The sequence below is a fragment of the Homo sapiens genome, chromosome 8 (assembly GCF_000001405.40).
Source record: "Homo sapiens chromosome 8, GRCh38.p14 Primary Assembly".
NCBI lineage: Eukaryota > Metazoa > Chordata > Mammalia > Primates > Hominidae > Homo > Homo sapiens.
Genome location: NC_000008.11, coordinates 37,503,261 through 37,529,001, shown reverse-complemented (window position 1 = coordinate 37,529,001; position 25,741 = coordinate 37,503,261). Strand labels below are relative to the sequence as shown.

The window sequence follows — 25,741 nt, the reverse complement described above, 5'->3', positions numbered from 1 at the left end:
CCTTTGCCCTTCCCCCTAGTTTTTTGTTTCTGTCTCCATATTTGTCTCCTGCAGAGCCCCCTTGTTGCATTTTGTTGAAATATGTGCATCTGAAAACCATAAAAGAGAATCAAAAGTAGGGTGTTTTCTTTAGATACCTTTCGCTGAAACACCAGCCCCCTCTCCTCTGCAAAATTTGTCTTCTTCACTTCTTTTCTGCATTGGTAATTGGTTTTTGGGTATGGGAGGGGGTTAAGGATGTGTCTTTCTTGCTCTAAGTGCCTAACATGCATTCATATCTCACTGTGGGTTGTCATCTTCTATGCACAGCTGGTGGGAGCTGGGTTTGAAGGGGTTGCAGGAGCAGCAGAGAGATGGCCTGGGCTGTCTTGCTGGGGAGGTGCTCTGAGCTGTTCAGGGGTGCCCAAGACACTGGCCTCACAGGTGACTAAAAGGAAGGCAGGGAGGGAGAGCTTAGTGGGACCCAGAGAGGAGACAGGGCACTGATGGAAAAGGTGACCTGATTTTCAATCATGAACTCTACCTGTTTCTTTTTCCCTCTCCATATCTTCCTCTCAGGGGCTAGTGAGGTGAGGGGCAGTGTTTGGGGAGGACGCGATGTTGCCAGGACTAGCCTAGCTGTCTGCATGGGCTGTGTCCTATATACCCAGATTGGGATGAGTGGGTGGCACCTCTCCCTAGGGAGGTTGAGCATGCCTGGCTCTCTGCTGTGGGTGTCTGTACAGCTTCTACAGCTCCCTGCCCTGCTCTGGACATCACTGTCTAAAGCATACCATGACAAGACTCCCTCAGCTGACACATTTGTTCTCCATGCAGTGACATAAATGTAATAATTCTCAGATTCTAAGCCCTGAATACCAAAATGCTATAGACAGCTGTTGAAACAATAAAAAAACAAGCAGAAGAATATTTCTACCACACTACCACAGCCAAAGCTTTGAACATGACATTGTCCATCACAAGACTATTAATAAAACAACTGTAATCATATTGATTGATACCATTCACGGAGTGTCTTCGATGTTCCAGGCATTTTCTCATCTACTTTTGACAATAACCCTTTTATCTCCAGCTGACAGTTGAGGAAACAGACTTGAAGAGGTTGAGTAACTTGCCCAAGGCTACGTAACTACTTCAGGGTAAGGCTGGGGTTCAGACTCAGCTCCAGTGCCAAGCTGCAAAGCCAGGAAGTACGTGAACACAGGAACCGACCAAGCCAGGAAAAGCACAGTGCGTGGACAGTGAATCTCAGAGGAGGTGTTCAAGGGAGCAGGTCTGTGGACGCTAGCATGGCGACAGAGGGTTCTGGAAAGAGTCGAGGCATGATTTGGATTTAGGCACGTAATGCGGCCGGCAGAGGCATTTCAGGATGATTAAGACATTAGAGGTGAGGAGATGAGGGAGAGAGGAATGGAGGCTTGGCTCAGGGAAGTGGTGGGAGCCAGGGCAGCAATTGGTGAGGTTAAATGCTGGAGTCCCACACGTTCTGTGGGTGAATTTGGGGGCAAGTTAATAAACGCATCAATGTCCCAGTTCCTCAACAGTAAAGCAAGGGTAATAACAATGGCTGCTTTGCCTTTTTTGTTTTTTTTTCTGAGACAGAGTCTTGCTCTTGTTGCCCAGGCTGGAGTGCAGTGGCACAATCTCAGCTGACTGCAACCTCTGCCTCCCAGGTTCAAGTGATTCTCCTGCCTCAGTCTCCTGAGTAGCTGGGATTATAGGCGCCTACCACCACGTCCAGCTAATTTTTGTATTTTTAGTAGAAACGGGGTTTCGCCATGTTGGCCAGGCTTGTCTCAAACTCCTGACCTCAGGTGATTAGACTGCCTTGGCCTCCCAAAGTGCTGGGATTACAGGCATGAGCCACCGCACCCAGCCCCTGCTTTGCCTTTCTGTGGCAAGGATTGTGAGGTAACTCATGCCAGACACTCAGTTCTGCCTGGCACGTATGCCACTGCTACATCAATGTCCTTTGGAGCTGAAAATGCCCTCTCTCCAGAGGCTCCTGGGTTTTTGTGTCACCTTAACTCTTCTGCCTTCTTCAGGGTCTTCAGCCACTGAGTCATCCAGTTCAGTTGATTTGTTCCCTCATTTTCTTCCTTGCTGTCACCGCCTTGTTTGAGATCCCTGACGTGATGTGCTTAAGCGATTGCCACAGACTCCCAGCTGGTTCCCCGCCTTCGGTCTGTCTTCACCTCAGTCCACGCTGTGCATTTGCACTCGATTATCTCTCCTAAAATGATGCCTTCTCCATCATGCTTCCCTGCTCAAAACCCTCCAGTGACTCACGCTGGCTCTTTGCGATTAAATGCAGACTTCGGAGAATCACTTACAACCCACTTCCCCATGGATTTGCCTTCGTTCCTCCACATAGTTGGAGTCTTATCACCCCACAAACTTGCGATGCTCTTTCCTGCTGCAGAGCCTTCATCCTGTCTCCTCTTCCAGGGATATGCCTTCCTCTTCCTCTCCGCATAGCCAAGGGCTCATCTTCCAGCCTGGCTTCTCTGAAACCAACTTCCTCCGTGAGGTTGTTCCTGACCAGTTCAGCTCATGAGACCTCTCTCCCTGCTGGACATCTCTGATACCTTCTCTGTGCTTCACCCATTTGGCCAAGGGCTGCCCTACTAAAAACATACAGTCATGGAAAACGACACATTTCCCCAGATGGGGTGCAAAGGCCTCAAGGGAAGACCGCCTCATCTGCCTTTTCTGTCCCCTATGGTTCCCAGCATAGGGCAGGGCTGAACATATAGTTGTTACTCAATATTTCTATTAAAAAATTTTATTTCCATAGGTTATTGGGGAACAGGTGGTATTTGGTTACATGAGTAAGTTCTTTAGTGGGGATTTGTGAGATTTTGGTGCACCCATCACCCAAGCAGTACCCACTGCACCCTGTTTTCAGTCTTTTATCCCTTATCCGCTCTCACCTTTTTCCCCCTGAGTCCCCAAAGTCCATTGTGTCATTCTTATTCCTTTGCATCCTCACAGCTTAGCTCCCACTTATGAAAGAGAACATACGATGTTTGGTTTCCCATTCCTGAGTTACTTCACTTAGAATAATAGTCTCCAATCCTATCCAGGTTGCTGCAAATGCCATTAATTCATTCCTTTTTATGGCTGGTTACTCAACACATTTTGCATTCTTTTTTAATAAAGGTGGTTTGGAGAATGATGCTAATGAAGAACTGGAAGATGGAGAAAAGAACCCCTTTTCCACTAAAGAAGGGGGTGACAATGCAAGCCTATGCAATACATAGGTTCCCGCGGGTGCAACACAAGCCTATAGCTTAGGTTGAACAGTCACTCATGGCCCCCGAAATCAGCAGGCTTTCTCTCTTTGTGCTTCTGTTTGGGCCTTCCTCACTCTCTCGAGCTTTGCTTTCTACCCTGATAAACTTCTCTCTCCCCACACGCCTCCCTTGGACTTTCCTGGTAGCATTCACAATCTTTGCAGAAAGTAAAACAAGATGAGATGGGTGTTTAGATGTAAGTCCCATATTTGATACTCCACCCTAGGCCCTGCTGGTAGTTCACAGTTGTCTGGGAGCATTTGTCTAATGCCTCAATAGATGACTCTGGAGTGGATGAATAAAGAATGGCACACAGTGAACTACAATGCTAAACCACTCACAATAATCTATGACTGTTGATTATGTCCTTAATGACAGTAACAGCTGTAATAGTGAGAATGATCTGATGGGTAGTGCAGAGAAGGATGGATGATGGGTAGGGATGCAGAGAAGCTGGTTCTCATCCCTGGGGCTCGGCGTTTCAAGCCAGGCTTCCATTTTTTGGGGGGTTTGTGATTCATGCCCAACTGGCAAGTCTCCTCTCTCTGATTCAAAAGGGGAAGAAGAATCCCTCACCCGGGATCTTGGGGACGTCAAACTGCTCCTTACGCAACAGCCTCCTAATGAGTTAAGTGTAAATGAATCAGAAGCAGATGGATTGGATTGTTCTGGAAATACACCCGAGGTTTAAAAATCGAGGGAAAAAAGCATTTGGCAAAAGGCATTTTGGGGTTTGCCAAGACCCAGAACATTTGAAAAACAGTTCAAGATTTTTTTCTTTTCTCTTTGGTTGCAAAACCCAAAATGCTGCCTGGAGGCAGTAGAAAGAGATGGGCCTCCATTCTCCTTTCAAACTGAAGTTCCTCCTGCCGGGTGGGTAATGGACCCCAGATAGGAGGCAATGGGCTATAGCATTGCACCAGGGAGTGACTGTGTCCGGGAGCAAAGCGTCCTGCCTCCATTTGTTGCAGAAGGCAGTGCTATGAGCCTGCAGCTCCTAGGCTGGGCCTCAGTCCTTTGGGCCTGCCCTGGGGCCCTACCTAGGTCATGCAGCGAGCTCCTGCCTTCCCTAAGACTTGAGTCACCTCATCCAATCAGGAGAAGCTCATTATATAAGGGAAATGGTCTCCAATTTGCTGGCCAAGAAACTTTGGAGGTTAGCAAACACTAATCCAATAAAATATAAAGTGAAATGTTGATTTTACAGAAAAACCTTTAAACAATTTTTTTTTATTAGTCACATTTGGTATAACTGAACCTTTCCCTGGAGGGACCATCTTGTTGAGGGGAAGGAAAAAAAAAAGCAACTGTCTCAGAGGAAAACTCGACCCAGCAGTTTCTAAATCTGCTGGCTGGCTGTGTGATTGTACATAAGGCACCAAACCTCACTCTGCTTTGGTTTCTTTTTCTTTTCTTCTTCTTTCTTTTTTTTGAGACAGTCTCGCTCTGTCGCCCAGGCTGGAGTACAGTGGTGTGATTTCAGCTTGCTACAACCTCTGCCTCCCAGGTTCAAACGATTCTCCTGCCTCAGCCTCCCAAGTAGCTGGAACTACAGGCGTGTGCCACCACACCTGGCTTATATTTTGTATTTTTATTAGAGACGGGGTTTCACTGTGTTAGTCAGGATGGTCTCAATCTCCTGACCTCGTGATCCGCCCACCTTGGCCTCCCAAAGTGTTGGGATTACAGGCTGCCTCTGCACCCGGCCAGTTTCTTTTACTTTAAGTTCATTTTTTTCCCCCCAGAGACAGTGCCTCACTCTGTCACCCAGGATAGAGTGCAGTGGTGCAGTCTTAGCTCACTGTAGCCTCCAGTCCTGGGCTTAAGCCATCCTCCTGCCTCAGCCTCCTGAGTAGCTGTGATTTCAGGCACATGCCACCATACCCAGCTAATTTTTAAATTTTTGCATAAAGACGGGGTTTCACCATGTTGCTCAGGCTGGTATCAAACTCCTGGCCTCAAGTAATCCTCCTGTCTCAGCCTCCCAAAGTGCTGGAATTATAGGCATGGGCCTGCTTTGGTTTCTTAATAACCATCTTTAAGGGTTTTCTCTGACTTGATCCAAATACAGGAATCAAATAAGTTGGGGGCTCTCCTGATAATTCATGTTAGATAATGGATGCATCCTTATGTTGCAGGAACATGGGGTGTCCTTGGTGTGTCCAATACATGGTCTCCCTAACAAATTTCAGTAGAGCTATTTCCTCCCCTGGGACCGATCTGTACAGGTCAACAGACCTGTATGCCTTTCCGAATCCTGTGGGTTGTAAGCTTGGTGAACCTGGCTATTTGCAGGTTCCATGGCTCGGTGACTTTTGGTCCCACCACAGGGTTTCTATCCGGCTGATCTAGGGTCTCTCACTCCCAAGATGTGCTGTCCTTATTTGTGGTTTTGTTTCACCCTGGCCTGGAAAAGCAATATCGGTGTTTTCCTTTGAGTTGCCTCCAGGCATTCTCACCTTCCCAGCCTGCTGTCTGCTGGCATGAGGCAGGCCCTGGAGCTTACCATGGGGTGGTGAGAGGTTGGGAGATGGAGCTGAAGCTGTGGGTGCCAAAGGCAGAATGTGAGCAAAGTGCAACTGAATTGTATCCCTCTTTGAAGGCCCAGCTTGCTTCTTTATCTGTGTGTTCATTTGCTCCTTCATCTGCTATGTTCGGTGCTGGATCATAACCTGATCCCCCAGTGAAGACAGGCCTAATCAGCCCAGCCCACAGCAACAATACCAGCACTAGCAATCTCAGAACTGTTTACAGTTTATAAAGGGTTTTTAGGTTCACAATCTCCCAGCTCCTCTTCTTCTAAAAAATCCACAGGAAATGCAGGGGCCTTCTGATCATCTGGCCAACCATCTCAGTTTCTAGGGAGAACGTTCTTTCTGAGACCCCACAGTTGGTGGCAGGGCTGGGTTTCACGCCCCCTTCACTCACCATGCTTTCTTCCTGTACTTGCACTCACTTTGTTCCTGGTCAGGATCTATTTTGTTCTGTGTTAATCTTGTTTGCATCACCATTTCAACACCCCATATGGACTGCATGCTCTTTTAAGATGAGGATCGTGTTTTGTACTTCTCTGTAATTCACACAATGCTGAGCAGGGTGTCTTAGACATGAAAGCTGCTTAATAAATAGCTAATTGACAGGGAGAAATACTGAATTGGGCAGAACTAGTGGTAACCCCAGTTCATTGCAGAAAGATTGGCACTGTGCGTCCTGACCTAAAAGACAGCTGCTCTGGGTTTCTGGGCTCTTCCCCATTGGTAGTGAAAGACCCCCTTTAGCTCTGATCCAGCCTCATTGTTATCAGGAAATAGAAAAAGCTCACACCTAAGGGCATTATCCTGATTATCACCACATTCACATATCGAGCAGGCCAAGAGATAGAAAAGAAAGTGTTAGTGTCTGATATTGTCCTTGCCAAATAAAAATTAAGCGGAAGCTCCAGGATTCAAGGGAGGAAGCCCGCCCCCATGGGGAGCAAGGGGGGAAAGAGCCTGTGGTCTGTGAGCGAGGGCCTCCTCCCCACCCCGAAGTGCTGGGGTCCATCGTCAGCTTGCAGGGTGACCCCAAGGCCACTGCCTCTAGGTGAACTTGAGAAAAAAGCTCTTTTCTGTCCCTGCCTGCTTGCTTCTTAACCGTGTGAGTGAGAGGGCAAATGAGATCCCATTTTGAACTCCCAGGAGGAAGGCAGTAGTAATAACAGTGATTATTTGGAGGTTATGACTTGTTGGGGCTGCCATTAAAGAGAAAACAGCTCACCCTGAAGGGTAACTGAGGCCACTTCCAGGAGGCGAGAGCAGCGGACCCTCCTCTTTGACTGCAGGGTGAGGTGGTGTGCGGGAAGGATGCGAAACACAAGGGGTTTTGTCTTGGACTCTCCTGTCCTTTGATTTCCTAGGTATAGGGGAACACCCAGAAGCCCCGCCCCCCGCCCCCCCACGAGTTGCTTCCTCTGATCTGTGAATTCTGGCTTCTCCAACGTTTCTGATATGATGATTCAGGAGAAAAGTGGACTTGTCAGAGACAGGAAGGGAAGATAAAAATAAAATCAAGTTAGCCAGGCCTATGAGTTCCTGTCATCTTAGTCATCCCCCGCTGCCCTTCCCCGTAAATATCCACAATCTTAAAAATCCCACAGGCCTGCGCAGAGTGGGAGCCAGACTTTGGGGTCCAGGTCAAGGCCAGAGGGTGAAGGGGACATGATTCAGCGCTGTGGGCCTGCGGACGGACGGGGGGAAGCGGGGCCCTGCAGGGCCCCCCCAGGACACAGGGCTGTGGGCTATGAGTCCTGCCTCACCCTGCAGCCTGCACTGCCTCTGCTTCTCCAAGCAGGAGCCGCCGAGTGATTGATGGGCCCCAGCTTGAATGGAAAGTCCAGATTCCAGCAACACAGCTTAAGAGGTAGGAGGAGAAACACGTCTAACATCTGCAACAAAATTAAAAATTAAATAAATAAAATGTGTTAGTTTACAAAATAGAACTGTTACTTGTTACTCGGGGTATTAACAATCTCCTTTTTTGATTAAAATTTTTTTTTTAATTTTTAATTTTTTTTTTCGGTAACGCCCGTGAAAGACGTTTGTTTCAGTTGCCAACATTTCTGCAGAACTAATGTGGGTGGATTGTGACAGATATAATTTCTTCATCCTACAGTTTCATCAACTTGAGTTCTGTTAAACTATACCCGCTGGGCTTAGCTCCTTTTAAAGTTTCCGCTTTGACAGGTAGATTTATTAGTCTTGAAATTTGTACAAATCAGATGTCACTCGTGGCAACTTGTCAAAGTGTCAGTCTGGCGAGGCGGCATGAAAGGCTTTCTGGAGAGAAAGGCAGACGCAAGGCAGGCTTTAAAGAACTCCAGCACGAGCTGCGGGAAGGAGTGGGAAGGATTGCAGCCCCTTGATCCTCGAGGCTTTACTTTATTAAATATCTCAAGCTGTATAGGGGGACGGGCCTTTGGATCCCGGGTCTCTGAGACATCAAGTCTGACAGCTCCCAAACGATGGCTTCTGTCGATTGCAGCGTCTAGTTTCTCTCCTTGTTATGCTCATTTAGTGGCAGAAGGCAAGGGGGGCTCGCTTGGTTGTACAGGCAGGGAGAGCAAATCCAGATCTCTCAGTTTCAAAAAACACTGGGTGGGTCTGTGGGGGTGGATGGGTGCTCCTGGGCTCCCTCGGCCAGAATGAGGGGTCACCTTTCAGCCCACAGATGCAAACTCCTTGTTCCCTTGGAGAGAAAAAGCAGCCGGGAGGTGGGGAGGGAGGGAGAAATGCTCTCAGGTGCAGGCCTTAGGAGGCCACGGTCCTAAGACAGTCCCAGCACACCCGTGGCTCGATTTCCCGGCCTGTGGGCTTCCCGAATTTTCCAGGCTTCCCCATTCCCCAGCCATCCGTGAGTTAAGGAGCCTACGATTTGGTAAGCTCCATAATTATCTTAGTTTGACATCGCAGGAAATGTTACTAATGGTCAGAAAATTATCTGAATTTCTCCCCTGGAGTGGGGAGTGCAGGAGAAAGACCCCCAACCAGGGCCCCGCATATAACTTTCTGCAGGTGGCAGACTGCAAGTGTCCTGGTGGCATGGGTATTTAGTACTGAGAAGATGCCCTCTTGGGAGGCGGGGACTGTACTGCAGAACTGGAGATACAGTGATGGCTGGGGAAGCTTACACTAGCTTATTGCGGTGGTGTCTGCTCATCTATCTGTGTGGCTACCCGGGGATGCTGGAAGACGCCAAGTAAAGCTGTGGGGCTCAATATTCCTACAACCTCACTCTCCCACTCCCCAAGAGGTTCTGGGGGCATTACACTGTTTGTGTCCAGTGTGGAGGACGCAGACACTGGACGACGGTGGCGTGCCCCGATGTGAATGCTCAGGGCCCCTCCCCTGTAGTTCAGTCCTCCCTGCCTCTTTCTCAGGACGGCATTGGGAGCCACTGCTGACCTCAGTGCCCATGGCCACCCATGCTGGTCCATCTGTTTGCCTGTGCGATGTGGGGTCTCAGTATCAGGATGAGGCAGGAATCAGGATGAGGCAGGATTTGATTTGAGAAGTGTGGAGCTCGCTGTCTCCATCTCTGCCCCCTTCCTCCTTTATTCCAGTCCCTTTTCCTCCTAGGTTTCCAGAAACTCCTGCTCAAATGCAAATACCTCTTGGAAGGGTGGCACTCCTTCCTTCCTGGGGATTAGGTGACACCCTGCTGAAAGCAAGAGAAGTATTTTGTGGGAAGGAAGCAGGGCTGCTACCAGGCAGGTGGGGCAGGAGGCCCCAGGGAACTTGGCCCACCTCCTGCTGTTCCAAGAGCCCTGCCTGCCGTCACCTCTTCCCCCTGTCCACAGAGCCGGGAGCCAGGCTCTCCATAGAGGCAGGAGGGACTGCAGAGGGCAGGGGTGGTGGAAAGACCCTGAGGGCTGTGCAGTGAAGGGAAGGGACTTCCACACAGACCCCTTCTCCTGTCCCCCAAGAACACAAGTGCTTGGGGTTCGTGGGTGGCTGAGTCATTTTCCACCAGCAGCCTGGAGTCTTAGGCATGAAGCGGGGGATTTTCTTCTCCCTGAGCCGAGGAGGGCGCCTCTGTTGGCATTCTTCCCAAGAGGAGAGGAGTTGAGTCTGCTGTTTATGCTCCTGTTTGAGGCCTGGAGTGGGGAGCAAGTCTACTGACTTTGAAAGTGAGTGAGATGATCCCAGGTGGGGCATCCCAGCCATTAAGAGGCATGCTAAGGAGAATGGTCACGACGGTCTAATCACGGCAGCAATTATCCTAATAACCCTCAGGATGGAGATCATGCCTTTCAAAGGCTTTCAAAGGGCTTTCAAAGGGCTCCAAGAACTTCCAGACTGGTGATCTCACATGATCCCAGCCTACTTCTGGCAGAGAGATCCGGTGGGACAGGCTGTAGTAGCCTGGGGGGAAACTGAGGCGCTGAGCTCAGGCCTTTCACTCGGTCCCTTTTGCTTTGCTCTGTGAGTCCTGGAAAAATGAATCCTCGTTTTTGCCATCGCTGGATTATTTTCAGCTGCCATCCTGTCCCTGAGAACGAAGCGCGCACACACACACACACACACACACACACAGACACACACAGACACATACAAAGACACACACAAAGACACACACACACACACAGACACACACAGACACATACAAAGACACACACACACACCTATGCACATAGACATCAACACACACAACTGAAACAAACATATACACAAACAGACAAACACACACAAAGACACACACATGCACACACAGACACAGACACGAACACACACACACACATAGACACACAGACATAAACACACAGACACCCATGCACACACAGACACACAAACATGAACACACAGACACACGCATAGACAGACACATACAGACATAAACACACACAGACACGCACACATGCACACACACAAACACGCAGACACACACACGCACACAGACATAAACACACACAGACATACACGTATGCACGCACAGACACACAGAGATTGTGCACACACAGACACATACACACAGATGCACACACAGACACAGACACAGGCACACATATACCCAGATACACAGATGCACACACACAGGCACAAAGACACACAAACACACAGATACAGACACACATGCACATATAGACACGTATATACACACAGAAGTACACAGACACACACAGACACAGGCACACACATGTATGCACATGTGTGCAGATGCAGGCGCACATCTGCAGCTTCTAGCCCCCAAACTGGCCTCTGCTGAAAAGCGCTCCACCTAGGAGCTGCACGGTTCAGCCATGGGTTCAGTCCTGCCTCTCCTGTCCCCACAAGTTGGGCATTGTGCGTGGAGCTCATTGAAAGGCAGCAGGGAGCTGGCGGATCTGGGGAGCACGTACCAGGGGAGGACTTTCTCGAAGAGAAGTTGCTGTGTGCCATGGTTTGGCGTGACTGACTTTTATGTGGGGGAAGGGCAAGGGATCTTTTCCCTGTCCCTCTTCTTAAGACAGCGCTGCCTACACTCTGGGGTTACTTTCCAAGGGAGAGAACGGGGCCCTGAAAGGCTAAAACCAGAGCAGAAACGGTGGGTGCTCATGGCTAGCTGGGGTCCTGGGATTCTATTTCCTGAATGTGTCTCTGCTTGGTAATTTCAGGGCGGCCAGCAGGGAGAGGGAATGCGGAGTCGGGGGAGTGGCGGGGCGGGGGCGCGTGGGGGTGAAAGGCAGGGAAGAAGGAGGAGAAGAAAAAACCCATCAGCCCGTCTGGCATGAGTTCAGAAAACTCTCCAACTCACACATCTGGTTCTTATATTTCAAAGTTAATTAGTCATATTGAGGCTGTCTGAAGATAAATTTATCATCCAGAAAAAACACAAACAGTTTGAAAAATGAAAGGAAGTGAGGTGACATGCCTTGACGTTTAAATAAATCATTTTAACATGATTAAAAAACTTGTCCTGTCTGACACCCAGTACTTGGGTACTTTGTAAAGACTTTTTTTGACAAAGACAAGTCCCTGTTTGGTATGTAAAAGCCCTTGCCATTCAATTACTCAGAATAATCTTTGGCCAATTACATCTCTGAATGACTACCGGGGCGTACAGCCCACAGCCAGTCGCATTCTCTGGGGGTGGTGGCAGGGGGCTTGGGGTAGTCAGTGATTATCCTAGGGGGAAGAAAAAAACTGCTGTAAAGCATTGAGAGGTTTGGGCAACTGGAGGGTTTTTCTGAGAGAGAAGTGAGCATCAAATACATTCCTCATCTTGCCCTCTCTAGATGAAGGTTGCTTGAGCAGGAAATCCACCCATGGCCCAAAGAGGAAAGATCCGCTTTAAATGCCTGGGCATATACTTCCAAGAACCAGATGTGGCCTGTTCCTTACACCTCCCTGGGCTTAGATGACAGCTTGAACTCTGCGGCTGATGGAATTGTGAGTCGGGGCTCTCTCTGGCCTGGCTATAGTGGGAAGTGGCCAGATGGGGGTGGTAAAAATGTAAATAGTGGTGAGTTCTGATGTGTTTGTTTGTTCTAGGAGCAGATGGGAATGACCTGGAATCTAACACTCTACAATTCAGACACACCACTGTCCACTTGTCCCTCCCTTCCTGCCACTGGCCCTGCCAGCGTACCTTGTGTACTTCGCAAAGGTCACTGGCTCCTGTTTTATGTAATGACTGACAGACGATCTCGCCCAGCTCAGCAATGTGAACAGACACCTTGCATGGTGCCGGTGGTGGGTGCGGTTGTTTCTGGATGTCATGGAAGAGGCTGGGGCATACCAGGGCTTTCCCCAATTGTGCCTAAAATAAATTGGCTCTTGGGAGGTTTCTGTGTGCCTCTGGTCTGTGCTTTGGTCGTGTTATTTATGCAGGACAAGAGTGATATAATCCAACATGAACGTTTTCTCCTATTAGCAATTTGGTCTCATCAGCTTTGTTAATGGGATAACAAGAGGTGCCAGTTATGGTGCAAAAGTCCCATCGTGTTGGTAATTTTCACTGTAACGTGTTAGCAATCTGTCACTATTTGTTTCCAGCAATTCTGGCAAGAGTCTGCTTACATCAGGGGCTCCAATTTTCTCTCCACGCCACCAGGCTGTTCTCCCTTTCCCTGGCGAGGTAGCCTCCCCTATTTCGATCTGTCTCTGTCCATCCGGCTGTGCCCTTGTTTCTCTGTCTCCCATGTTTCTCTCTCTGTCACCTCCCAGCCCTCTGATAACCTACGGCAGTGTTTGTATTGGAGGGAAACACTGTTCGGGAGCAGCTTGCAGTGATAGAATTCCAGAGCTGGAAGCTTGCAACTCTCTTCGCCCCACTTCCCCCATCTGCCACTTGGAGAAATGAGAGCCAGAGAGAAGTGACTTGCCTAAGGTGTTGCTGTCAGTTAGGTGCAAGGCTGGAACTGGGAGCCTGGTTTCATGATTTAAAATCCATTGTGTCTTCTTCTGTACACACAACGGCATATGGAAAAATCAGACGGTTCTCGAAACCAACTTTCTTACCTATGGGAAAACACATCCTGGTGAAGCAAAGGTCGTGGAGGGCACCGAGTCTCCTTCCCGGAGTGAATAGGGCCTTTCTCAGCATAATCAGGAGGGGCCCTCAAACCAGGTGGTTTTCTGGGGTGAGTCATTCCACCAGCTGTGATGCCTTGGGCTCAGGGTCCCTGCTCTGGAATCAAGAAGGGAGTGCTTCCTTAGTGAATCATGGCTGGCAGCGGCTTGCATACAGCTTTAGCCTCAGCCATGGTCACCAGCTATCCAGCACAGAAGCCCTGGACATAAATAGCCTTTCCTGTGCAAGATGAGACACTCCTGCCTGCCTCCAGGTCCTAGACCCCTGCTGCACCTCTAGGAGACCTTCGCCTTGCCCTTGTGCATTTGCTCGAGTGGCCAAGATTCATTCCTTCTGGAAGCATTTATTTCCATGGCTGCCATCCTGAGGCCTGGAGGCTGAGAAGAGCAGAGGCACCACCCTGTCACACGGAGATGCCAGATATTGTGTCAGATGGATGAGGGTTTGGAATCTTAGCTCTGCAACTTTGTGGTTGCAGGAACTTCCTAGATGCAGACACTGTCAGTCTCCGTGTCTTTACTTGTAAAATGGGGATTTATAATATCATAGTTTGCTTATAGGTCTGTAGTGGGGAATATAGAATGTGTTTAAGTCCCCAGAATGCTCTAATGCATGTAGTAGGTCTGCCATAAACCAAAAATTCAGCCCCTTACTCAATGTATGGGCTAGGAGATGCAGAGACTCCCCAGGACCACCTCTTACATTTCTTTCATAGCCACTGTCAAGTTCACAGTGTGGGTGATGGCTGGCTATGCAGTGATGGCCTGTGTGGCGTGGGGGGCAGCAAGTGGGCTGTTGGGAGAAGTGTTCCAGTAGAGGATCAAGGAGAATGTCTAAGGCAGAGAGACTTAGAGCATCAATTAACCATCTGTTGAGTGGAAGGAGAGAACGGCTGACCACCAAGTCACCAGCGACCCGGATGTTTAGAAGAATGAATATGCAGATTTCTGTGGCAGGAAAAAAAAAAGGAAAGAAAAGCGCTTTGACTTGGGCGCTGGTGAGAGCTACCAGGCTAGTGCACGTTCTCTCTGTCAAAACCTTCCCACTAATTGTCCAAAGCTTCCCTGATTGCTTGTAATGAAACCGCCAGCCGACTCTGAAATCTCAGAACCGTCTCATCATGCCCTGTTGAATAATAAACATTGCTCACAGGGGCAGACGAGTTGGTCACGTCAGCCTGGGAAGAGGCCTGGTGCTCCTCAGAGAGGCGGTTTCCTGGCTGTGTCCCAGGCACCTGGCAGGGCTGCCGGAGAGCAGGTACCGGGGTTGGCCCAGCCTTCTCCAGTTGTCCTTAAGGTGCCTTGGCTATGATGAGTTCTGCCTGCCTCTCTGTCTGGTGCTTCCTTTAGAGTTGACAGATGTGGGAGGTGTGTGTGTGTGTCTGTGTGTGTCTCTGTGTCTCTGTGTGTGTGTCTCTATGCGTGTGTGTCTGTGTGTGTGTCCATGTGAGTGTCTGTGTGTGTCTCTGTGTGTGTCTGTGTATCTGTGTGTATCTCTGTGTCTGTGTGCATGTGTGTCTGTGTATGTGTGTGTGTGCATGTGTGTGTCTGTGTGTGTATCTGTGTGTGTCTCTGTGTGTATGTGTCTGTGTATGTCTCTGTGTGTATGTGTGTGCATGTGTGTACATTTCCCATACCCCCCCTTGTAATCCAGGTCTCTACTTAGAAAATGAGAGACTTGGAGTGGGATACCAGGTGAGTCATTTAGACCCCTTGGGTCTTGGTTTCTCTTTTATTTATTTTAGAAACAGGGTCTGGCTGTGTCGCTCAGGCTGCAGTGCAGCAGCATGATCATAACCCACTCACTGCGGCCTCAAACTTCTGGGCTCAAATGATCTTCCTGCCTCAGCTTCTTGCGAAGCTAGGACTACAGACACGCAGCAATAGGCCTGGCTGATATATATATTTTTTTAATTTTGTAGAGATGGGGTCTCATTTTTTTTGCCCAGGCTGGTCTCGAACTCCTGGCCTCAAGAGATCCTCCTGCCTCGGCTCCCAAAGTGCTGGGACTGGAGGTGTGAGCCTGGCCTTGGGTACCCTGGTTGCTTTCTGTAGCTCTTCACATGACCCATGCATGTTCATTCTGCACATCCACTTCATGCCTTTGGAGAGGTTTCTGGACCACACAGTCTATGATACTGCTCTCTCATTATTCTGCACTTTTTTTCTTTTCTTTTTGAGACGCGGTCTCACTCTGTCATCCATGCTGGAGTTTAGTGGTGCAATCATAGCTCATTGTAGCCTCGAACTCCCAGGCTCAAGGAGTGCTAGGAAATAGCGCTCAGCCTCCCAAAGTGCTAGGATTACAGGCATGAGCCACGACTACCCTGCCTTTTTTCCCCCTAACATTTATCAGGATCATAACTATCTTGCTGTTTGTGTGTTTTGTCTCCGGAGATTGTACTCAAGGTGAGGGAAGGGCCTTTCACATCCTGTTCCCCTCTGCGTTCCAGCGTTGGAACAGCTCAATGCCGAGGCCACAGGTGCTCTCTCAAGGCTACCTGTTGACGGAATGAGGAAACCTGCAAAAAGAGTGGCCGTTAATGACTTCCTCTACTTGCCTCATAGGGTTTTTGCAAGGGTCAAATGACGGCAGCTGTGAAAGTAATTTGAAAAAGTGAAAAGAAATATGCCAAGTGCAAACTATTAACATTACTCTCCTGTGGGCGGCAGAGGACGTGCCTTTGCCAAAATGTCTCAGTAGCCTTGAGGTGGGCCTGGCAGAAACTGGAAATCTTCCAAATACCTCACTGCCACCGACTTACACAGGGGTCTTCAAAGCAAGACACGCAGTTGCAGAACAATTCAGCTCCATTTTGCTCATGTTTACTGGGGGTCTGCTCCGTGTGATGGGTGCCAGGAGGCAGGAGAGCAAAGGTGTATCCTGTGGCCTCGGTCCTCAGCCAACTCACAATCCAGGAGGCAAGGCCGACTTGCAGACTGATACATTTTAGTACGAGGACACCTGCAACAGGAGAGGCAAGGGTAGGTATCGAGAGGAAGGAATGTGAACCTTAAGAAGATGGGGAGATGACAGCAGGATTACTTGGCAGGTGAATCTCCGCCTTCTCGGTGGAGAAGTTTCCTAGAAACCTGTGTTTGTCTTTTCGTTGTTGGCTGTCCTCCTCCTAACTGCTACAGTTGAATTTTTTTTTTCTTCTTAGAGACAGGGTCTCACTCTGTTGCCCAGGCTGCAGTGCAGTGTTGCAATCATAGCTCCGTGCAGCCTCTAACTCCTGGGCTCAAGCAATCCTCCTGCGTTACCCCCACAAGTAGCTGAGACCACATGCGTGCACCACTTAATTTTTTTTTTTTTAAATTGTAGAGATGAGGTCTCACCACGTTGCCCAGGCTTGTCTCAAACTCCTGACTTCAAGCGATCCTTCTGCCTTGCCCTCCCAAAGCACTGGGATTATAGGCGGGAGCCACTGTGGCTGGCTCTGCAGATGACTATTTAGACAATTCCCTGATCGCACCCCACATGAAATCTTACTAACACATCTATCCCATGTACCTGCTATGTTCCATGGTCCTTTCAAGGCTCACAAATCATTGCAATAGCTAAGGTTTTTAAAAATCCCCCAAGAACCAGCTTTCGCCCTGTTGGCGTGCTACCACCCCTGTTGTGAACGCAGGCAAGTACCACAGGCTTTCTCCCCTCTCCACCAATTCTGCGGACCTCAGACAACTTCTCCTACAGGTCTCGTGGCGTGGATTCCTTATTACCAAATATCCAGCCCTGGGACAGATATGGGCTAGAACTCAGGACTCTAGGGGGCTTTTCCAGGGGTCTAATGGCTTTCAGGGTGCTACTGGCTCCCTAATCTCCTTTTCCTGCCAGGGAATTTGGAACGCTTTACCCATCGTCACCTTTCCTGCCTCCCCGGTGTCCTTGTGTGGTCCTGACTGAATGTTCCCACCCCCAGCCCATCATACAGAGCTGGGGATCCATCACCTCTTCCTGGGCTATTGCTTCCCAAGTGCTGTCTTTCCATGTCAGCAGCACGTGGAGCCCAGGCTGCCCGTGGACACTGCTTGGATGAGGACTGAGGCTGTGCTAGACCACGTGCTTCCTGGGTGTGGCTTGGGTCTCCAGTTTGTCAGTTTCTTCAAGGCAGGGGCTGCATCTGGCCCTTTTGCCCCGCGTTCCCCTCTTTCTAAATCAGGGTTCAGTAAAGACTCACTGGTTGTTTGGCATCCTTTTTGCCTTCTCAGCATGACTAAGTGATATGGTTTGGATATTTGTCTCTTCAAATCTCATGCTGAAACGTAAGCCCCAGTGTTGGAGGTGGGGCCTAGTGGGAGGTGTTTGGGTCATGGAGGCAGATATTTTGTGAATGGCTTGGCGCCCTTCCCTTTGTAATGAGTTCACAAAGGAGCTGGTTGTTTAAAAGAGCCTGGCATCTCTCTTGCTCCCTTATATGGTTTGGCTCTGTGTCCCTGCCCAAATCTCATCTTGAATTGTAATCCCCATTTACAGTTGGGAGGTGATCAGACCATCAGGACGGTTTTCCCCATGCTGTTCTCATGGTAGTGAGTGAGTTCTCATTTGACCTGATGGTTTTATAAGGGACTATTCTCGCTTTACATGCTCTCTCTCACCTGCCACCATGTAAGATGTGCCCGCTTCCCCTTCTACCATGATTGTAAGTTCCCCGAGACCTCTGCAGCCATGCAGAACTGTGAGCCAATTAAACCCTTTTCCTTTATAAACTACCCAGTCTTGGGTAATATCTTTATAACAGTGTAAAAATGGACTAATACACACTCTCTCTCCCCATGTGACACTGTGGCTCTCCCTTTCCCTTCCTCCATGATTGGAAGCTCCCTGAGGCCCTCACCAGGAGCAGGTGCTGGCACCATGCATCTTCTTCTTTTCTTTTTTCTTTTTTGAGATGGAGTCTCACTCTGTCATCCAGGCTGGAGTGCAATGGCACAATCTTGGCTCACTGCAACCGCTACCTCCCAGGTTCAAGCGATTCTCATGCTTCAGCCTCCGAATTAGCTGGGATTATAGGCATCTGCTACCATGCTTGGCTAATGTTTGAATTTTTAGGAGAGATGTTGGCCAGGCTGGTCTCAAAATCCTGACCTCAAATGATCCACCCACCTTAGCCTCCCAAAGTGCTGGGATTGCAGGTGTAAGCCACTGTGCCCGGCCTGCACCATGCTTCTTATACAGTCTGCAGAACCATGAGCTAAATACACCTCTTTTCTTTATAAATTACCCAGTCTCAGGTATTTCTTTATAGCAATGCAAAATGGACTAGCACAAGAGGGAAAGCAGCAATGGTTTCCTTTGTAAATATTCTTATTAAGTACCAGGCACTGAGTAGGGGCTTAAAAAATGTAAGTTGAGATGGCATCCACAATGAGAAGGAAAGCAGCTCTGGTTCCTTCAGGACCCGCTTGAGGGGGCACCGCGGTGGCTTGGGGACAACTTGGAGCCCCATCCTGGGGAGAAAACAGCTCCTGTCTATGGCCCTGACTGCTTAGGCGGGAGCTGCGTGCAGCTCAGCTTCTCCAGGGCATTTTTTTCTACATGGTAGGCAAGAACATGTGCTCAGAGGAAGCATCACAATGCCACTGCCACCCCATCTTCCCGCCAAAAAACTAGAAAATTAGGCATCCTTCAGCATGACATGCAGAAGAGTCCTTACTACGGTGAGCCAGAAGGCACCCGATGAAGTGCTGGACCTGCACCTAATCACTGCCAGTTGGAAGTGACTGTGTTACATCGAGAAAAGCAATTTATATGCAATGTGGCCTGAAGGACACGGTCTACTTATCAGGCCTTCTTATAGAAGGCTCCACTGGCATATTGAGCAGGAAAACGTAGTTGTATATTGACTGTCTTGCATATTATCAAGGAAGTGTCTCCAAAGGGGGCAGTGCTGCTTCAAAGACCTTCATACCTAGATGCTTGCTATCAGCATCACTGTAGATCTGCTTTTTCTGAAGTGACCAGCTACCACACAATCCCCTGAACTTGTTCTCTAAGGACACTTACTACCTTTGGCCACAAAAGGCCATAGGAGAAATATGTCTCTGGTTTCAGTGCCAATAATGGTTGAATTATCCTGATTATTTAACTAGGTTTCTGTCTTTTTGTTTGCTCTGATCTGTTTCATTTTATTTTATATTGTCCTGTAGATATTTCTATAAGCCACCTTATATTTTTTGTGAAAGAGAGGAGAAAATAATGAAATAAGTGTTTAGGCAATGATGAATCTAAAGAGATGAGTGAGGAAAAGCAAGATAACTAGTGAAAGATAGCTTCAGCAGCAAGAACAGGAAAAATCCAATATAAGCCATAACAGAAGGTCTGTTGGGATGATGGAAGGCAATATCACAGTGCATTAGTAAAAATACTCAGTAATAAGAAGTGGGTTTGGGTCCTGGCTCTGTCACTAACTAGCTAAATGATGCTGAAAAAAAAAAGAAAGAAAAGAAAAAAAAAACAGGCAGAAAAGAACCTAGTTTAATGATCCCCCATAGACATGGAGAGATGGGATAGCACAGAGGTTCAGCAGGTGGGCTCTATAATCACACTGAGGTGAAAGCCTACTCCTATTTATTCTCATGGAACCTTTAACAACTTATCTTTAAGCCTTGTTTTTCTTATCTATAAAATGGAAATAAGAGTGCTGATCTTGTGTGTTTTTGGGAGGTTTGTGATTTTCTTTAGCTAGTCTTTTCAAGCACTCTATATGGATTTACAGAGGGGATCCTTGAGCTACAGAACAATAAAGTAATTTTCACAAGGTCCCAAAACCAATGAGTAGCACAGCTATGACTGGAACGCATGCTGTCCACCTCCAGGTCTATGCTCTTAACCACTCTTTAATACTGATGATAAATTAACTAATCACGTGTAATGCATGGAGCGCAGTGCCTGGCACATGGTAAGCCTTTAATAACTGTTAGCTCACTCAGCAAATGAAAATGCCTTACAAATCTAAATTAATTTCCAAGTCATGGAAAGATATACTATATCTCAGATATGATGTTTGTTAAATAATAACATATCTAGATAATATCTAGATAATTTATAATTTCATAGAGAAATGCTATGAAATTGATAGATGATACAAATACAGAATGAATAAGTAAAACAAAAAATTACAGAAATAATATTAATTTTAAAGGGTAACTAGCACAGCTGAGCACACATACTTATGTATAAGAAATATTCATCATATTGTTATTTATTAAAGTTTAAAAAGTAAATGAGTTGAATATACAAATGTAAGGAGTTGATTAAACAAAATATGGAATATCTACACACATAGAAAAAAGGACTGGATTAAAATATGACAGGACTTCAACATTAGTCTTTTGGTAATATGATTTGTACCAGTTTTCCTCTTTCTTTCCAATGGTCAGTTTTCCAAATTTTCTACAATGAAAACATATTTCTGTAATAATCTGAAAAAATAAACATTATTTTCAATTGAAATAAAAAAATGTGAGTTGAATGAGTTGAACTGGAGAATATTTTTTGTTTCTGTTTGCACTCTTTAAAAAGTATTCACTCAGGCTTGACATCTTGGAACTTCACTTTGACAGTCTATTGGCTCCAAAGGTTTGAATCCATGACAGATCTTCTGAGCTTACCTGCTCACCTGTTCTCAGGAGCTGAGCAAGGCACCTGCCAGGGGTCACGTTCTATCAAGAGGTTGATTTACTCCTGGAGGGAGAGTCATTGCCAAGTTTTATTTCTACTAGGAAACCAATTGCAGTAAAAAAAAAAAAAAACAGTGCCTTTTAGGTTCTGTGTTGGGTGCTCTTGACAATGCTTCTTTTTGGAGCCTTTCCCTAGAGCAGTCTCTGATTAGGTTGGCTTAGCAGAGACATCTAGACATTCTGTTTTGTAAATTACTGGAGAAATTATATCCCTGTCATATTTGAACACTCTGAAATAGGAGAGAATTACTTTATTGGGCGTTCCCCCTCCCTCCTCCTAAATGTTTGAAGCTAACAGAATGTTTTCAAGCAATTTCTTGCCACTAGATTTCGTGAAACTTACTTCAAGTGTCTTTCCAGAACCTTTCATAGAAAAGTAATTGTGTAATTAGCTATAAATTAGTAAAAATTATGCTAATTACTTCCAGGTGTGACATATTTTGTGCTTAAAAACAAGTAAGAGAAATAAAGGGGCTGTCAGTGTGGTTCCCAAGTGAAGGTGAGCCCAGGTAACTTGACAGGCTGATGTGCATATTTACTTAATATATTTTTTTAAAAATTATGTAATTTCTGAATAAGTACAAACAGACCAGGGAACAAAAGTTACAACAGACAAAACCCAGAGCGGTTCTTTTTGTGTGTGAGCTTAATTAAAAGAAACCTATGCAGGAACTTTGTCACTACTTTTCAGTCTTGCAGTTGACCTGGGGTGATGGGAAGGGAGAATGTTAGTGTTTGTGTGTGTGTGTGTGTGTGTGTGTGTGGAGGGGGTCTTAGGGCTTCACAGCTCTGTAAGTCAGAAGAGGTCCCTTGGCCCTCCCGCTGGGGAGTCACCCTCTCTGCACACAGTCCTCACACTTGCAGTTCTTGTTGTTAAGGTTTTGTGGACCATGGCCCAGAAATGGCACTGTCATATGCTAATGATGCTGTCTTGAGTGTCTCATTTGCACACAGTGCTTTGCTAAGACAGTACTTGATCACACCACCCATTCCTGTGTCCTCTGCACCACAGTCCCTTGAAGCATGTAAAACTGCTATTATAACCATCGTAGTGTACATGAAAGTCAGAAGGACTGTGTTCTCCTGGGATGGGGCAAAGAGGGAACGAAGGAGAAAATGGAGTCTGCTCCCTCCCTCCCTCTCTCTCTCTTCCGCTTTTCATTCCTTCCTTCCTTCCTCCTTCCCTCTCTCCCTTCTTCTCCTCTTCTTTTCTTTCCTTCCTTCATTCCTTCCTTCCTTTGTTCATTTGTTCCTTCCTTCTTTCCCTTCCTTCTTTTCTTCCTCCCTCATGCCCTCCCTTCCTCTTTTCTTTCTTCCTTCCTTCCTTCCCTCCTCCCTCTCTCCCTCTCTCCATCTCTCCCTCTCTTCCTTCCTCTCTTTTTGCCTCTCTCCTACGTTCTCTCCGTTCCTTCTTTCCTTCCTCCCTCCCTCCTACCTTCCCTCACTTCCTTCTTTCCCTCTCTTCCTTCTTTCCCTCTCTTCCTTCTTTCCCTCCCTTCCTTCTTTCCCTCCCTTCCTTCTTTCCCTCTCTTCCTTCTTTCCCTCTCTTCCTTCTTTCCCTCCCTTCCTTCTTTCCCTCCCTTCCTTCTTTCCCTCCCTTCCTTCCTTCTTCCTCCCTCCCTCCCTTCCTTCCTTCCTCCCTTCCTCCCTCCCTCCCTTCCTTCCTTCCTTCCTTCCTTCCTTCCTTCTTCCTCCCCCCCTCCCTCCCTCCCTCCCTTTCTCCTTTTTAAATTCATCTGACAGCAATTGATGCCATCTGCACCATTGAGCAAGGATGTCAGGTGTAAGCCCATCACTCAGCCTATGTGTAGGCCAACCATGCTGGGTCATGTGGTAGGTGCTGGGTAGACAAAGACTCATATCACTGTCAAGATCACAGGTAGTGGGGATGCACATGAAGAAATAATCTGATAGAGTAATCGTAGTACTCTAATCACAGTGACCCAGGTCTTTACAGATAAGGACATAGGCATACAGAAGTTAAGTAACCAGGATTCTTTTTGTGATTTTTGTGTTTAAAAAAAAAGGCTGAGTCTTGGTCTAGTCTTTTGCCCTCCACGAAAGCCATGCCTAGATAGCTAAATAACACTGTGGTGGAGATAAGGGCTCTATGAGCCCAAATAAAGGGGAAATCACTATACTTGAAAAAGGCATATGGGTTTAGAATCAGATGCCTGCAGTCCTGGATTCCTGATTCTCATTTCTCCAGCCAGCCTCCCAGGGCTCTTGAGGATTAAATGAGACAATCTTTGTGACAAGCACTTTGCAAATTGCAATGTACCATACATATGTGGTGAGAAACCAATGAGGGGCCAGGGCAGATGTGACTAATTTGGCCACAGCTGGAGGAGCCTCCCAGGCAGGACAGCTGGAATCTGGAAAGCCAGGCAGAAGGGGCAGAGGCCCAGGGTGGGTGGAGCAAGGATCTCTCACAGGCAGACCTGGCCTTTCTGCCCCCAGCCTCCCTCCTTCTGTGGGATGTGTGTGGCCCTTGGTGTGGCTTCAGGTGGTGAATCTGGACCAGGCTCCTTGCACACGGTGAGCAGGAGCTGCTTCCTGGAGCAGGTGGCCTTTCTGCTGGGAGTTCAGCCTTGCAGTAGGTTTCTTTGGGCTTTCTATCCCTAGGTGGAACCAGGCTTGGTGTCTATCTGTTTTCTCATTACCCATAAGATCAAGTCCAGCCACCTTGGCCATCATGAGAATAACCCCCAGAGGAATCCTTATATTTCTTGCTACTCCCCACATAGCACCTCTGTTTGCTCCATCTGCTCCAGCAGCCACTCTCCTGGGTGTTCCCTGCAGACAAGGTTCAGGGGTCACCTTGGAGCCGTTGCTGATGCTGCTGCCTCCATGCACAGCTGAAGTTCCACCTCCTGTCCAAGCCTTTCCTGCAGCGATTTGCCTTTTATTTGAGCTCTTAGAGTCCTTATCTCCACTAAACAGTATTATTTAGCCATCTGAGCATGGCTTTTCTGGAGGGCAAAGGACTGGACCAAGGCTCAGCCTTTTTTTTTTTTTTTTTTTTTTAACACTCCCGAGCTTTGTGTTTTAGCTTCTGCTCATCTAGTGTTGCTTTGACTGTATTTGTAGGGAGAAACAGGAGTGATTTGGACCACCTTCGTCTTTTCGCGTAGATTCTTTTTAGCGGGCAGGATGGTTAAGATTTTATCTCAAAGGCTGGCTTTCCTGTGGGTCTAGGAGGCACTGTGAGAACCACTAGACAGGGCTCAGTACTCATTGCACACAAATGAATTTCACGGTTGGAGCAAAGCCCTGTCATTGCAAACCAGTGTCTGGCAGCTCCCTTGTAGGGGAGATCAGCTGCTTGACATGGGAATCTTGCCCTTGGCCAGATGAGAAATTTTATATGCACGCTTTACAGGTCAACACCACCTGTTCTAACTCCTGGAAGGGAGAATTTTAAAGGAGTCAACACATTCCCAAAATGTATTTGTTAGTGTGTCTTTGTAGATGTGGTTAAGACAGACTGCAGCATTTGCAAAGCTTAGTGCAAAGTGAAAATATGAGTCTCTTGCTCAGAAATTATTAAGAATTTCAAGATGGTGACAAGTAGACCATGGTTTATTTCTGAGTGTGTGTTGGGAGTACAGTGTAACTATATAACTTGCATGCTTATAAACTGCCTCTTCTGTTCTGTGTGTGTGTCAGCTGTTGCTATCATGCCAGTATAGAAGGTGATGGTGTTGGTGTTTGTTAATTAATTTCTTTTTCCTTTTACTCAGCACAGTTTCCAAGTTAAGTAACAATATCAAGTATCTACATATGTCTAGCACTACTCACAACACCAATGGGCAGTGGTTTACCAAATTAGTGGAAGATACGGTTCTCCCTCGAGAGATGTTTATGGTATTATAAAAGAGACAAGATGCATTCAGTTATCATTCATAGCTGCCAGATTAAGAGGCTCAGAGAGGCTCAGTGATTTTCCCAAAGTCACACAGCTACTCCAGGCCCAGGGTTCTCTGGCCTTGCACATGAAACACTTAAAGAATGAGATGCCTGGTGTGGGGTGCTAGGAGATGTGGGAGGTCTGAGGAGCCAAGGCCATGGGATAATCACTGCCAGTTTGCAGGAAGGGAAGGATTCAGACTGGGGGTGCAGAGAGGATAGGGGAGGCCAGCATGGAGGGAACATACTCTGGCCAGGGATGTGGGCAGGACGCCAGCAGGAGGGGAGCTAGAGACCAGGAATCGTTGCCATGCTCTCTCTCTTCTTTAGTCCTCACCTTTGCTAACTCCTTTCCTTCTTAAATGAAGTACCTTTCTCCAGGGCCATTTCCCTCTCCATTCTATTTCAGTGTATTTCAAACTTGGACCATAATCCACAGCAAGAAACATATTTTCCGCTGTGGCCCAGCATACACACACACACACACGTATATCTGTGGATGCACGCATTTTTCTTGTGTTTTTGTGTTGACTTACCTTTGCTACATGTGGTGCAATCTGATGTTTTCTGTTATGTAATTAAATATTCAGATAATGACGCCCCTAATTGAGGCACAACCCCCAGTGTGAAATCCTGCTTTAACTCCACTCTGTCATAGCTGGCAGACAGGGAGAATTTTTTTTGCTTTTGTGCTCAAAACCCCATGGAACGAAGGGCTATGCCCTTCCCTGGCTCTGCCAGCCATTTGGAATTCTCTCCTTCCTCCTCTCTCTGGGCACCTAAAACTCATATTCCTGGCACTCC

The 25,741-nt window shown here is 47.5% G+C and overlaps 1 long non-coding RNA gene across 4 annotated transcripts in view, besides 3 other annotated features; it reads left to right on the top strand.

Annotated features, from left to right (window-relative positions):
- Window positions 1–25,741, top strand: part of LINC01605 (long intergenic non-protein coding RNA 1605) — a 196,324-nt gene that overhangs the window by 70,838 nt on the left and 99,745 nt on the right. For 2 of the 4 annotated variants that reach the window (NR_170188.1, NR_170187.1), the window contains 3 exons: window positions 7,626–7,694; window positions 12,046–12,199; window positions 12,302–12,596. The exons of 1 other annotated variant lie outside the window; for it this stretch is intronic. This is a non-coding gene — a long non-coding RNA (long intergenic non-protein coding RNA 1605). Of the gene's footprint in view, window positions 1–7,602; window positions 7,695–12,045; window positions 12,200–12,301; window positions 12,597–25,741 lie in introns of those variants that run through there. One more of the 4 variants, NR_121621.2, reaches the window with a different exon arrangement.
- Window positions 6,639–7,838: an enhancer, noted in NCBI's record as "P300/CBP strongly-dependent group 1 enhancer chr8:37378682-37379881 (GRCh37/hg19 assembly coordinates)". NCBI's record gives its function as "activates an origin of replication core promoter dependent on BRD2, BRD4, P300/CBP, MED14 and CDK7 cofactors, with strong dependence on P300/CBP, by STARR-seq in HCT116 cells {active_cell/tissue: HCT116}" and the evidence as "EXISTENCE:reporter gene assay evidence [ECO:0000049][PMID:35650434]".
- Window positions 10,601–11,119: an enhancer, noted in NCBI's record as "H3K4me1 hESC enhancer chr8:37375401-37375919 (GRCh37/hg19 assembly coordinates)". NCBI's record gives its function as "activates a minimal SCP1, AML or CMV promoter by ChIP-STARR-seq in primed H9 embryonic stem cells {active_cell/tissue: H9 hESC(primed)}" and the evidence as "EXISTENCE:reporter gene assay evidence [ECO:0000049][PMID:30033119]".
- Window positions 11,120–11,640: an enhancer, noted in NCBI's record as "H3K4me1 hESC enhancer chr8:37374880-37375400 (GRCh37/hg19 assembly coordinates)". NCBI's record gives its function as "activates a minimal SCP1, AML or CMV promoter by ChIP-STARR-seq in primed H9 embryonic stem cells {active_cell/tissue: H9 hESC(primed)}" and the evidence as "EXISTENCE:reporter gene assay evidence [ECO:0000049][PMID:30033119]".